The sequence below is a fragment of the Homo sapiens genome, chromosome 4, assembly GCF_000001405.40.
Source record: "Homo sapiens chromosome 4, GRCh38.p14 Primary Assembly".
Classification (NCBI taxonomy): Eukaryota; Metazoa; Chordata; class Mammalia; order Primates; family Hominidae; genus Homo; species Homo sapiens.
Window position 1 is genome coordinate 153,571,632 of NC_000004.12, and position 14,321 is coordinate 153,585,952.

The window sequence follows — 14,321 nt, forward strand, 5'->3', positions numbered from 1 at the left end:
TTATTACAACCTTGGCCTCCCGAGCTCAGGTGATCCTCCCTCCTCAGCCTCCTGAGTAGCTGGGACTACAGGCATGTACCACCATGCCCAGCTAAGTTTTATATTTTTTTGTGGAGACAGGGTTTCACCATGTTGCCCAGGCTGGTTTCAAACTCCTGAGCTCAAGTGATCCACCTGCCTCGGTCTACCAAAGTGCTAGGATGACAGGTGTGAGCCACCATGACTGGCCTATTTTTTGAGGAACAATTCCAGTCTGCTGAGATCTTGCCTGTCTTCCTTTATTAGAGTCTTTTAAAAGCTCCATTTAGCACAGATATATTTCATTTTGAATACCTGCACAATGAGATCTCAAAGTATCTCCACTTCTCTTTTTATATCTGTTTAACCTGACTTTCTAGATGTTGTTTTCTTTTTTTTTTCCTTTTTAGTTGGCATGTAATAATTGTACTTAGGTATGGGATAGAGAGTGCTGTTTTGATACTGTATACAATGTGTAACGATCCACTCAGGGTAATTAGCGTATTATCACCTCAGACATTTATCATTTCATTATGTTGTGAACATTCAAAATCCTCCCTTCTGGCTTTATTGTAGTCAACTGCAGTCACCCTGTAGTGCTGTAGAACACCAGAACTCATTCTGTCTGTCTAGCTGTAACTTTGTGTTGGTTACCCAGCAAGGTTTGGTTATTTCTTTTTTGTTTTGTTTTGTTTTTTGAGACAGAGTTTCGCTCTTGTTGCCCAGGCTGGTGTGCAGTGGCGTGATCTCGGCTCACTGCAACCTCTGCCTCCCGGGTTCAAGTGATTCCCTTGCCTCAGCCTCCCAAGTAGCTGGGATTACAGGTGCCCATGACCACGCCCAGCTAATTTTTGTAATTTTAGTAGAGATGGGGTTTCACCATGTTGGTCAGGCTGGTCTTGAACTCCTGAACTCAGGTAATCCACCTGCCTCAGCCTCCCAAAGTGCTGGTATTTCAGGCATGAGCCACCGCACCCGGCCCAGTTTGGTTATTTTAAACCATTTCAGCTGTGTCTAGCTCTTGCCTTCCCCTTTCCCTATATATATGGGGTAAAATATACTTAACACAAAATTTACCATTTTCACCATTTGTATGCGTACAGTTCACTGGCAGTAAGTACATTCACAGTGTTGTACAGTCATCACCTCCATCCATCTCCAGGACCCTTTCATCACCCCAAGGGGAAACTCCATACCCATTAAACACCTTCCCTCAGCCACCATTATTCTCCCTGGCAACCACTATTCTACTTTCTGTCTCTATGAATTGGACTATTCTAGGTCCCTCATAGAAGTGGGATTATACAGTATTTGTCCCTTTGTGTTTGGTTTATTTCATTTTGCATAATGTCTTCAAGGTTCTCCCATGTTATATAGCATGTATCAGAATTTTATTCCTTTTTAAGGCTGAATAATTTTCTGTTGCACATATATATCATGTTTTGTTTATCCACCTTGTGGCATTTATGAGTAGTCTTGCCATGAAGATGGGTGTATAAGTATCTGAGTCCCTGCTGTCACTTTTGAGTGTATGCCTAGAAATGGAATTGGTAATTCTGTTCAAGTTTTTTGAGGAACCACCACAGCGTCCTTTCTTTTATAGCCTAATTCTCGCCACAGCGATGCCTGCTTAAGTATAAGCTGTGCCCATGCTACTCAAGGTCAAGCGACGGCAGCCTGCATCACAAAGCTTAAACTTTTGCCGAGCCTGGATCTTGTTTCAGGGCCTGTGCCAGACATGCAGGGCCTACTTGTCATTTGTTTGAGGCCCAGCATCATCCAATTGTATAAAAATAGTTACTTGCCTTTGGACAGAGCCAACATACGCTGCCTGACCTATCAAGGTGAAAATCCCACATGGCTCTGCTGAAGCTGCCAGCCCAGGTTGTAATAGTTAAAAGCTAGTTATCCAGGTGTAAAAACCAAGGTGTTGCCCAACACAGATGACTTCCACTTGGCCAAACCAAAAGTTTAGATAGTACAGGGGTTATCTTAGTCTCCCAATTGTTTTTTGTCTGTCTTTCAGGGTTTCTGGCACATTTCAGGGAGTGGGAGGTAGTGTCCAGTAAATGACACTTCTTTTTTTCTTGAGTTCTGTTCCAATCATGAAATAAAAAGAACTTGAAGTGTTTTAGGGGAAAAAAAATCTCTTAGAAACCAAAGGAGTGTGGTAAAGAGTTATCTTCTAAAAGCTTTAATGTGGGAAAAATGCTTCCCCCAAGCATCTAAATTATTTGTTGTGGAATTTTATTAAATAAATGCATTAATTGTGAATGAGCAAATCAATATAATCTCCCCTTTGAGGCCTACTGTGTACCCAGTGGTTTGCATATGTATCTCATTTAGCACCCATCATATTGCTGTGAATTCAATAACTTGATTTCATAGAAGAGGAAGCTGAGTCTTAGAGTGGGTGGGGAATGTCCCCAGGCTTTTATGGCTGGGGTTTGATCTCAAATCTGTGTTGGCTAAGCACTTGGCCACACTGCCTTTTCTAAAATGATGTGGATAAGGAAAAATGCTATCCATATGCAGTAGCCTCTTTTTTCCTCAAAGCAAACTAATTTCAGCCACTTCCTAGGTTTTTGCAAATGTTTGCATGAGTGGGTCTGGCAGTATAGTTAGATTTTGTTTTAGTGGTTAATATCTGAGGAATAAAAGGGTAGTGGTGGTGGTGGTGGGGGTTGAAACACAATTGCTATTTAATATCAGGGAAAAATAGCTGTACAGTACTTATTAATAACTCAGCTGAGCCTGCTGTTATGCAGGAAACACTAAATTAGGAGTGTGGTTATAGAATCTGAGTGTTATGTGGAAGGCACCCAAGATAGCTCTCATTTTATACAAGATCATTTGCCATGTGCATAATACTGTGTGTGGGGGCCACCTGCTGGAGCAGTCAGATGGCTTATACAGAATCAGTGTTCCAGATGCATATGTTGGCATAAGAGATTTACTTTTTCTTGTCTTTTTGAGATGGACTCTGTTACCCAGGCTGGAGTGCAATGGTGCAGTTGCAGCTCCGCCTCCCGGGTTCAAGCAATTCCCCAGCTTCAGCCTCCCGAGAAGCTGAGATTACAGGCGTGTGCCACCATGCCCAGCAAATTTTTGTATTTTTACTAGAGACAGGGTTTCACCATGTTGGACAGGCTGGTCTCAAATTCTTGACCTCGAGTGATCCGCCCTCCTTGGCCTCCCAAAGTGCCGAGATTACAGGTGTGAGCCACTGCGCCCGGCCGAGATTTACTTTTATAATGACTTCTAATATTTAGCATTCAAAATTGTGAAAGGGGAGAAAGATGTCTGAGAAATACAGAATCTAAGATTGGGATTTGTCTAAGTAATTCTTTCATATTTCATAAGTTGTAGTCCTTAAATAAAAAGGTTTCATGTGGTTATTACCAGGAACATCAAGCCTCTTGTTCATTCTGTCTGGATTAATATAGATTCTCAAATATATTTATTTATTAGGCTGTGCTTTACTCTTGTTGATAAGACATCAGAATGACTTAATACTTTAAGTCTGTTATTTCCTTTCCTGTTTAATTGCACACAGTCCCCCCAAATCACACCCTTCTTGTGGCCCAGGGCACCAGCAATTCCTTAGCAAGTGAAGGGAGATGATTCCTTTCTCTCTAGTATCCAGTTCCCTAAATTCATACTTCTTCACCACAAAACTGTGGAAATACATGACATACAAAAGGAGTTTTAACATTTCTATTTTCTTGACCTTTGCATTTTATCTTGGTATGGTTTTCTAATATATATCCCTGTGTTGATGGATTTTTAGGCCTTTAGGTACCTAGGAGAAACAGATTTGATCTATTTTAATTTGTTAAAAAAGTACTGACTGCAGTTGAAAAACCTGATTTTTTTTTCTGTTTTTCTACTACCTAGCCCCAAGATCTTTGATAAGTCTCTTAACCCCTCCAAGCCACAATTTCCCCCATCTTCTAAAAGGGGATAATACTTTATATGAAATAATATGAAATATATAAACTATATTAATACTTTCAATGAAGACTACTTAAGAAAAAGTTGTTTATAGAGTTACTTTTTCTTTTTTCTATAAAATATCTGATCTGATTTGTTAAAGGAGTATGGGAGGTTTCAAAACTAGAGAATTACGTTTTTATTTGTTTTTCCTGTCTAATCAGCCCAGGCTCACTCTGGATGAGGGCGTGTCCTGTTGTCACACAGTGTGCTCAGTTGGGGACAGTTGGGGAACTTGTAACCCTAGTATGTGGTTGCCCCCTGGCTAACATTTTGGTTAGAGTTTCTTTTTTATCAAGTTAATATTGCTATTGTTTTGTTCTTTTTTTTTTTTTGAGATGAAGTCTCACGCTGTTGCCCAGGTTGGAGTGCAGTGGCCCGATCTCGGCTCACTGCAAGCTCTGCCTCCCAGGTTCACGCCATTCTCCTGCCTCAGCCTCCCGAGTAGCTGGGACTACAGGCGCCCGCCACCATGCCCGGCTGATTTTTTGTATTTTTTAGTAGAGACAGGGTTTCACCATGTTAGCCAGGATGGTCTTGATCTCCTGACCTCGTGATCTGCCTGCCTCGGCCTCCCAGAGTGCTGGGATTACAGGCGTTGGCCACCGCGCCCGGCCCAATTGTTTTGTTCTTTTGAGAAAGATATGGACTTGAAACTTTTTCTTTTAGAAAAATTAGCATACTTCTGAAGGGCAGTTTGGAGGTGCTAGAACTCCCCCTTGTGGGATTCTGAAATATGTCCTACAACAAAAGAAACAAAATAGTGATTTTTAAAATGCCTCTCGCTAATAGAAGAATCTTAATTAAAATGGCAAGTTATAAATATATCCGTCCAGAGATTTACTAAGAATGACAAAATATTAGGCTTTAAATCATAGCAAATTACTCTGCGAAATAGGGTTGTTAATTGTGTCAAAAACTGTTAATATGAGTGTGAACTTTTAACATCTTTTCATTTGAAGAAATATTGTAGGGTAGAGAATTGCCTTGTCAGGTTAAGACCTTAACATAGTTAAATTGTTGTAGATTTCTTAAAAAAAAAAAAAAAACTTATAAATGTGTACTTTAAAAGTGTGTTAATATGATTTTTTTCTTTAAACATTTTTTGAAAGTTTCAGATCAGAAATACACACTGTTAGGTTTTTATTCTTTTATTTTGTAGGCACCGTTTACTATTTTCTGTTTCTTGCCCTTTTCAAGCTTCTCTTGCCCTTTTCAAGCTGATTCCCTAGCATCTGTGGCTGTATGCCCACCTCTATCCACTCATCAGCTGTTTATTGAGTGCTGATGAAGTGATAGGCATTGTGCATTCGAAGCACGAGATGCTTAGAATCTCCTGGCGTAGGTAGACCTTGACCATGTTGTTGTGAGAAGTGTTACAAAAGGTCAGGTAGAAGTTGCTGTGGTGTCTGAGAGGGTATTTAAGCCAGGACATGAAGCATAAATCAGATTTAGCTAGGTGGAGAGGTGGGTGGGTTGGAGGAGTGGGTGCAAGGCAAAGGGACAGAAAATTCAAAGGTGTTGAGGCAAGCAGAGCAGAAACGAGACCAGTGAGGTTGGAGCATGCGCAGGGAGGTCGAGACTAGGCAGGTGCCGGAGTTTTATAGCGACAGCAGAGGATTTGGGACTTTTGCCAAGTGAGAAGTCTTTGAAGAGTTTTAAGCAAATAGTGGCATGACCAGATTTGTATATGGGTAAATTCACTCTTGGTGCAGTGTGGAGAATGGAGTGGAAAGGGCAGAGGTGGATGCAGGGAGACTAAGAGGAAGTTACTGCACCATCATTTTTTTGTGTAGTTTTGTGGTGTTAGAGTATTTATTTTGACTTTGTAGGCTGTACAGTCTCTGTTGCAAGTACTCAACTCTGCTATCATAGCACGAAGGCAATAGTAGACAGTCCATAAAGGAACGGGCATGGCTGTGTTCCAATAAAACTTTGCTGACAAAAATAAGCAGCAAACTGGATTTAACCTGTGGGCATAGTTTGCTAACCCCTGATATCTGGGGTATTTATTAAGAAAGAGGAGAAGTGAGTGGGTTTAAGGGCTCATGAAGGAGGTACAATCAGTATGACTTGGTTATGGATTTGTTTGAGGAGAGTATGAGAAGCTGAAGTGAAAGGGGTTTTCAGGTTTCTGGCTTAAACAACTGGATAAATAATGATAGGGTTGATGAATAATGGTGCTAAGATGAGGCACACAGCAAAGGTGGCCAGGTTGGGGTGTGTGAAGATTCAGGTGGATGCCCAGTCACTGGTTGGACATATAGGTATGGAGAGGACTAAGCTAGGGGAATCGATGTGGGAGGGTTCAGCATGCCAACAAGCTCCCCTGGGAGAGAGTGAAGAGGGCATAGGCAGCATCCAGCATAACTCAGTGTCTGATGGTTAAAGGAGCAACAGCTGGCAGAGGAACCAGAGAGAAAGAAAAACCGAGAGGGACAAGTGGTTCAGGCTGTAACAGGACAGGGGGCTGGTGGCAGCAGGGAGAGTGGTGAACAAAAGGAGAAGTTTCTGTTGGATTTGGCCGTGTGAGGATCATTTGTAACCTTAGTTAAAGCAGTTTCAGAGCTGGGCATGGTAGTGCACGCTTGTAGTCCCAGCTACTCAGGAGGCTGAGGTGGGAGGATCGCTTGAGGCCAGGAGTTTGAGGCTGCATTGCGCTATGATTGTGCCTGTGAATTGCCACTGTGCTTCAGCCTGGGCAGTATAACAAGTATTTTATTTTTTTTTGAGACGGAGTTTCACTCTTGTCACCCAGGCTGGAGTGCAATGGCATGATCTCAGCTCACTGAAACCTCCACCTCCTGGGTTCAAGTGATTCTCCTGCCTCAGCCTCCCAAGTAGCTGGGACTACAGGTGTGCGCCACTATGCCCAGCTAGTTTTTTTTTTTTTTTTTTGACGGAGTCTCGTTCTGTCGCCCAGGCTGGAGTGCAGTGGCGCGATCTCGGCACACTGCAAGCTCTGCCTCTCAGGTTCACGCCATTCTCCTGCCTCAGCCTCCCGAGTAGCTGGGACTACAGGCACCCGCCACCACACCCAGCTAATTTTTTGTATTTTTAGTAGAGACGGGGTTTCACCATGTTATCCAGGATGGTCTTGATCTCCTGACCCCGTGATCCACCCGCCTCGGCCTCCCAAAGTGCTGAGATTACAGGCGTGAGCCACAATGCCTGGCCATTTTTTTTTGTATTTTTAGTAGAGACGGGGTTTCACCATTTTGGCCAGGCTAGTCTCCAACTGCTGACCTCAGATGATCCACCCACCTCGGCCTCCCAAAGTGCTGGGATTACAGGCATGAGCCACTGCACCCAGCCTAACAAGTCTCTTTTAATTTTAAAGATAAATTTTAAAAATTAAAAATCAGTTTCAGAAAGTGGGCTTTTTCTGTTTGATGTTGGGATTTGTTCATAGACAAATTTAAAAATCTAGTTCTTCAGGCTGGTGTATTGGTGCACACCTGTAATCCTAGCACTTTGGGAGGCTGAGGTGGGTGGATTGCTTGAGCCCAGGAGTTCAAAACCAGCCTGGGAAATATGGTGAAGCTCCGTCTCTATAAAAAATACACAAATTAGCCATGTGTGGTGGTGTGTGCCTGTAGTCCCAGCTACTTGGGAGGCTGAGGTGGAGGTTGCATGAGCCAAGATTGCACTACCCGACTCCAGCCTGGGAAACAGAGTGAGACCCTGTCTCAAAAAACAAAAAAATCTAGTTTAAGATTTTAGATTCATTTTACAAATCATATTATTCTATTTAAGAATACTAGCAGATATGAACAATGATTTCTTTAAAAGAGTGTTTAATGTTTGGTCCCATTTACAAACTTAAACTCCTTAAATATTTTTACTGCATTAAAAATATATTTTATTCTTTTTCTTAAAAAAAGATTAAAAGAGTCACGGTTCACTACAGCCTTGACCTCTTGGGCTCAATCAATCATCCCACCTCAGCCTTCCTAGTAGCTGGGACTATAAGCGCACATCACCACGCCTGGCTAATTCTGGTATTTTTTCTAGTAGAGACGGGGTTTTGCCATGTCTCCTAGCTGGTCTGCAACTCCTGGGCTCCAGTGATCCACTGCCTTGGCCTCCCAAAGTGCTGGGATTACAGATGTGAACCACTACTGTGCCTGACCTATTCTTTTTTTTCTGTATTTTAATTGCCTGAATGACAATTGAAGTAGTTTAAAATGTATTCTTTTATAATGTACTTGGGTAAGTTTTATAAATCTAACAAACATAATTGTAGTGATTCTTCTTAGTAATGCATCTTTCCTGGGTTTTTAAATAGGTACTCCCTATTAAGCCAGCCTAGGCTTTGGAGAATGCCTTCTTACCTTGCCAAGATTTGATGTTAGGACTGTGGCTCCCGGGTGGAGTACCTTTTTCTAATCACTATGCCAGAGACATTAAACTTAATGAAAGAGGAAGTCTCATAGCCCATGTCTTTTAGATTCACATACTGCACTGAGTAACTTTTTGCTGTATTCACATGCCTGTAGCCCCCACCCTCCTACCCAAGGTTGTATCCCTTGATTTGATTTTTCATTTTCCTTTTCTTAAATATGTGTTGACATCATCCCAGGGGCTGTTAAGATCTTTAAATTTGACAGAGTCTTGCATTCTTTTTATATGCTTTTGTCTCTTTCATCCATAACTCTTCCCTGTTAAAAATGATAGTCAGTTGAATTTTGGACATCTCTTTTTTTTTATTTTTTGTTTTTTTGGTCTAACTTGAGGGTCATGGTTTCTAGGTCATTGTACTGATGGAAGGCACACTTAGAATTTTGTTACTTTGTAAACCTACTTTAAAATAACAATAGATTCCTGTGTTTAAATAACATTTTCAACAAACATCAGAAACACCAAACTCCAGTGTTCCTGTGTATATTTAGAACATATTCACCTGCTTATAGGTGTAATAAGGAATTTTCATGTTGCCCGAGGGAGAACTTATGATTTTCATTAGAATGTAAGCTCAGTGACAGTCCTGAGAACAGATTTCTCTGTTTAGCTTACTGTTGTGTATCCACTAAAAAGAATAATGCCCAGCATTTAGCAGATACTCAGATATTTATTGAATAAATGAAAAAGTGTAGTTTCTGAATACTTGATAAATTGTTTATTATTAGTGTGAGATTGAGCCTTTTACTTAAAGTTCTTTTCCTCCTTTTTTCTTCTTTTAGGCAGAAACCACTAATACTAGCCTCTTGCAGGTGCAACTGGAATGCAGTTTACATAATAAAGTGTGTCAGCAATTAAAGGTAAAATAAAATGTGTAGTGTTTTCTCTCTGCTTTCCTCCTGCCTCTTTGCTTAAAAATAAAACACAAGGCTGGGCGCTGTGGCTCATGCCTGTAATCCCAGCACTTTGGGAGGCCGAGGCGAGTGGATCACGAGGTCAGGAGATTGAGACCATCCTGGCTAACACGGTGAAACTCCGTCTCTACTAAAAATACAAAAAAATTAGCCAGGCGTGCTGGCGGGTGCCCGTAGTCCCAGCTACTTGGGAGGCTGAGGCAGGAGAATGGCGTGAACCTGGGAGGCGGAGCTTGCAGTGAGCCGAGATCGCACCACTGCACTCCAGCCTGGGTGACAGAGTGAGACTCCGTCTCAAAATAAAATAAAATAAAATAAAACACAAAACAGCATATTCTGTTCTCACACACGTCCCATTACGTTAAATGCTTCTCCTTTCCTCCATAGTTTGAAACCACAAAGTTGAGATGATTTTTTTTTTCCTTTTTTCCTCCTCCTTCCAACCATAGGGTTGTTATCTGGAATCTGATGATGTTTTGCGTCTACAAATGAGCATAATGGTAACAATGGAAAACTTTTCAAAAGAATTTGAAGAAAACACACAACATTTGTTAGATCATCTCTCTATTGTTTACGTAGCTACAGATGAATCTGAGACCTCAGGTAAGGTGGAATGTTTAAAAATTTTATTATATTTTCATCAGTCTGCATCATCATTCTATAGCATTTATGAACAGATTGTATCATAGCAAACCAAGACAAATAGCCTTTGCTTTAATTATTAAGTGATTGTAGTAGTAACTGGTTCTCAACCTACAACTGCTAAGAAGGCTGTATTATTTTGGGGAGAAGTGACAACTGCAAACTATTCTGAGTTTCCTTAGGAATAATTTTTCTTCATGTTTGGAGACAGTAAGGAAATTAAATGGGCATGACAGTTTAATATAAATATTTACAAAGTATTTGAAGTCTTGGGTTTCTTGTTCCACTTTTAATGATTTGCCTAAGCTCATTTAACCACATCATGCTGTTTTGTATTTTAAATAGCTAATAGGTTGCGGTTGTTCCTGGATGCTTGACAAGTTAGGTAGAATTTTAGTGTTCAGTTTTATGAATTTTATCTTTGGAAATGTGTGTCCTACTTATCAGAAATAAATGCATTCATCTGTTTAACTTCCTAAGAACTTTTTTCAGAGACACATTCTGTGATCCATGAAATTCCTAACGTAGAGTATACTAGTATCTTTTGGTTATCAAGACTTCTGAATGTGACTGTATATTTGTATTCATATTCAAGAAAGTATGGTTTTTATTCTTTGGGTTTTTTTGTTTGTTTTTTGGTTTTGTTTCTGTTTTTGTTTTTTTTAGACAGGATTTTGCTGTGTAGCCCAGGTGGGAGCACAGAGATGTGATCTCGGCTCACTGCAACCTCAGCCTCCTGGGCTCAAGCGATCCTGCCACCTTGGCCTCCCAAGTAGCTGGGACCACAGGCGCACACCACTATGCCTGGCTAATTTAAACCGTTTTTTTTTGTTGTTTTTTTTTTTTTTTTTTTTTTTTTTGTAGAGACAGGTTCTCCCTGTGTTGCTCAGGATGGTCTTGAACTCCTGGGCTCAAGCATTCCTCCCCGCTTGGCCTCCCAAAGTGCTGGGATTGCAAGCATGAGCCACCGTGCCCTGCTTTGGCAGTCTTAATTGGTTAAACAGCCTTTACCTTTCAGTCTTCAGAGCTGGCTGTGGTAGTGCTGGATCAGCAGGAGAGCTCTCCTGTCCTCAGTGCTTGGTGATTCTCATAGTGGCCAGTGAACATCTATGAGGGCAGATCCCTGACCCATGGGGACCACTTCTGTGGGTGAGGGCTAAAAGGAAGCCTGAAACCTGAGATCTCAGGATTTTCTTCTTTCCAAATGTGGTTATCCAAATGAGGAAATGAGGAGCTTTCTAATCAACAGGAGAACATAGCTTTATTTGAAGTCGTCCAGTTGGTTAGTTTCATTCAGAAGAGCATTGTGTGACCCTAAACTCAGAATTTTGCTCCTGGTAGTTCCTCATCATTTAGAGGGCTTAGGTTGGTAGGCATTTTTATGAGGATCTTTTTTCTTGTGATTAAAAAAGAAAAAAAAAAAGAAAACACCTCCTAGTTTTGATTTCAGTTTTGAGAAACAAGTTAACATTTTTTATAGAAATGTGTAATGTGGTATTTTAATGATTATATGAAGGTGTGAGAATGAGATGGCTCTGTTTTAATCTCTGATTAAATACTCTGCTTTAATACTCTGATTCTTTTGGACAGATGATTCAGCAGTAAATATGTATATATTACATTCAGGAAACAGCCTTATATGGATACAGGTAATTGTAAATGCTTACCTAAAGTAACTTTTAAAATTGCAAGTGTGCATTTAATTGTAGAATATGAGGGTTTTTCAGGAACAGAGACAGAAGCACTATCTTTATTCTTTTTTGCTTTAATTTAAGCCCATTTGCCCTTGCTTGAACCTCTGTTTGTATGAAGATTGTCAGCATCCCCTCCATATGGTTATGGCACAGATGCTGAGCAGTTGCTATGTATGGCTGGTCTGTGCTATTTATTCTAACGGTTCATTCAAACTGGATAAATACTCTCCCAGCTGAGAGTAGTCACATGGGACTTTTCTTTTATTTCAGGATATACGCCATTTCTCACAGAGAGATGCTCTGTCTCTGCAGTTTGAACCAGTACTACTACCTACTTCTACAACAAACTTTACAAAAATTGCTTCTTTTACCTGCAAAGGTACAGATTTTTAAACAGATTGTCATTTGACTTTTGTTATCTGGTTGTCATGATGGCAACTCTTTCTACAACTACAGATTAGGCATGGTTTCAAAAAAGTGAAGGGAATGCGTTTGATTTCAAGAAGTCCCAGCCTTAGTAGTTCTAAGATAGTATGATGTAGAAACTATTGTTGATGCCACTTTTATTCTGCCACATATGTAGAATTTTGAGTTTAAAGCTTAATATTCTGTGTTGATAACGATTAGGAAGGAAAGCACTGTTAGGTTTTTGACAGGAGTCTATGCAGGCTGTTTTTGAGGGAAAATTGGCAAATCTCTATGAAAATTTAAAATGCACATATTTACTCTTTGATCCTTAATTCTAGTTTTAAGAGTTTATCCTCCAGATATGTATGTATTCAAAACTGTACCTATAAGAAATGTGTGTTTGTTAGGACAGAACAGCTGATCATCTGTGTTCAGATGTGAGAGAGTGTTCAGAAACATGCATGGACAGCGATGCGAGCAGTGTGTGTACATTTAATTTTTTTTTAGAGGATATCTGTGTACTTATACATGCACAGAACACCTGGAAGGATGTTGCAGAAACTGCTAACAGCTGCCTCCTCCAAGATAATTGGGAGTCAGGGTGAAGAAAGGTAGATTTTATTTTCACATTTTTTTGTTAGTGTTTGAATTTTTAAAAACCATATATATAACTTTAAAAAAGTTGGTTATTAGCATCAGAGAGTTAAGAATTGAACACAAGCGACTCAATATTATAACCTAATCAAGGAGAGCTTAAAAGTATTATTTTGATCAATCAGCACTGCTTTCAAATGCAGCCCACTTTTTGCTGGTCAGCTCCCTTTTGCTCTTTAGGTTTTATTCCTTTCTTGCTCGTGCCTCCACACATTTTACTCTGCCAAGTGAGCTTCTTGTTTCACTTTTGTCATTTCTGGTAGAGAAGTTGGTTTTTAAAAGTATGGACTTCTGGATAATTGGCAACAAAGAAGATGACAGGAACATTTGAGAAAGTAGTTACCTTTTATGTCTGATTCACTATTTTAATGGAGACAGAAAAGTGAATAAAAATTTATAAATAAGACATATATCTTTTGTTCAGGCTTAATGAAAGAAAAGGTACTTAAGCTTCACATTTATTTCTTTATACCACAAAGCAGCTACATCATGTGACAGTGGAATTATAGAAGATGTGAAGAAAACAACACACACTCCAACACTAAAAGCATGCCTCTTCTCTTCTGTGGCTCAGGGGTAGGTTACTTCCACTTTCCCTGAAATCTTGTATGGTTGTTGTTGTTGTTTTCCCCTCTAGAAATGGTTTAAAAATATAGTGATATGATTTGTGTGATTCTCTCTCTCACTGGCCTTGCCTCCCCTTGCCTTAGCATTGCTAACAGGCAGTGAAAGGGATATTAGCTGAGTGGGGAAAAGGAAGTGAAATAATTCAGTTTATGAAATAGGTTCAGCATCAGGCATCCAGATGTGTGAAAAGAGTACATATTCACATGGTGTTTCTGAGTTGGCTTCAGGTTCTGGTTTGGTCCTGGCGGCCTCTGTGAGCTGTGCTGGCCGCAGCCTGGTTGCTTCCCCTCGGGCTTCCAGTTGCTCCCTATGTGAGCCAGAAGGTTGAAGGAGGCGATTGCCGAGGTTGTCTCTGGCGCTAGCTTTCATTTAGTAACGTTTTATGATGCTCCTGTTTTTGCAATTAGAGGCTCATAAGAGGGCTGACTGTTGTCCCACACTCAGGCCTGATAGCATGCATGTCGTCTGTTCACAGGTATTTTAGAATGGACTCTTCTGCAACCCAGTTTCACATAGAGACTCATGAGAACACATCAGGACTTTGGTCAATATGGTACCGCAACCATTTTGACCGTAGTGTTGTATTAAATGATGTGTTTCTTTCCAAGGAGACCAAGCACATGTTAAAGGTACATATAGTATTTTTTCCCCAAGTTTTAGCTTATTTTAAGCTTTGTTTAAGGTCAGATGCTGTGAAATTATTTCTATAAAATAATAAAAAATATTCCAAATGCTATGAAGTTATTATTTATATAAAATTTTATGATTTTTAAAACATGTATTTTTCTTTTAACATTTTCAGAATTACTTTTAGGAGACTTCTCTTTCTCTCTTTTTAAAAAACTGTTTTTAAAAGAGCTCAAAGGGACCAGGATATAGCCTTTCAAAATTATTTGCTCTTACCATTATTCAAAAATATTATGTATATGTATTGTTCTAAAAAGATTAGTAAAAATGAGCCTGGTTCATG

The 14,321-nt window shown here is 40.1% G+C and overlaps 1 protein-coding gene across 41 annotated transcripts in view; it reads left to right on the top strand.

The window, feature by feature from the left end:
- TMEM131L (transmembrane 131 like) overlaps positions 1–14,321 on the top strand; it is a 170,352-nt gene that overhangs the window by 105,272 nt on the left and 50,759 nt on the right. For 16 of the 41 annotated variants that reach the window (XM_047449899.1, XM_011531780.2, XM_047449901.1 and 13 more), the window contains exons 8-13: positions 9,195–9,272; positions 9,776–9,929; positions 11,559–11,617; positions 11,933–12,041; positions 13,204–13,300; positions 13,827–13,980. In XM_047449899.1, the coding sequence (XP_047305855.1) occupies positions 9,195–9,272; positions 9,776–9,929; positions 11,559–11,617; positions 11,933–12,041; positions 13,204–13,300; positions 13,827–13,980 (651 nt within the window). The remainder of the gene's footprint in view (positions 1–9,194; positions 9,273–9,775; positions 9,930–11,558; positions 11,618–11,932; positions 12,042–13,203; positions 13,301–13,826; positions 13,981–14,321) is intronic. The other 25 variants (XM_047449900.1, XM_011531781.2, XM_047449903.1 and 22 more) reach the window with 3 other exon arrangements.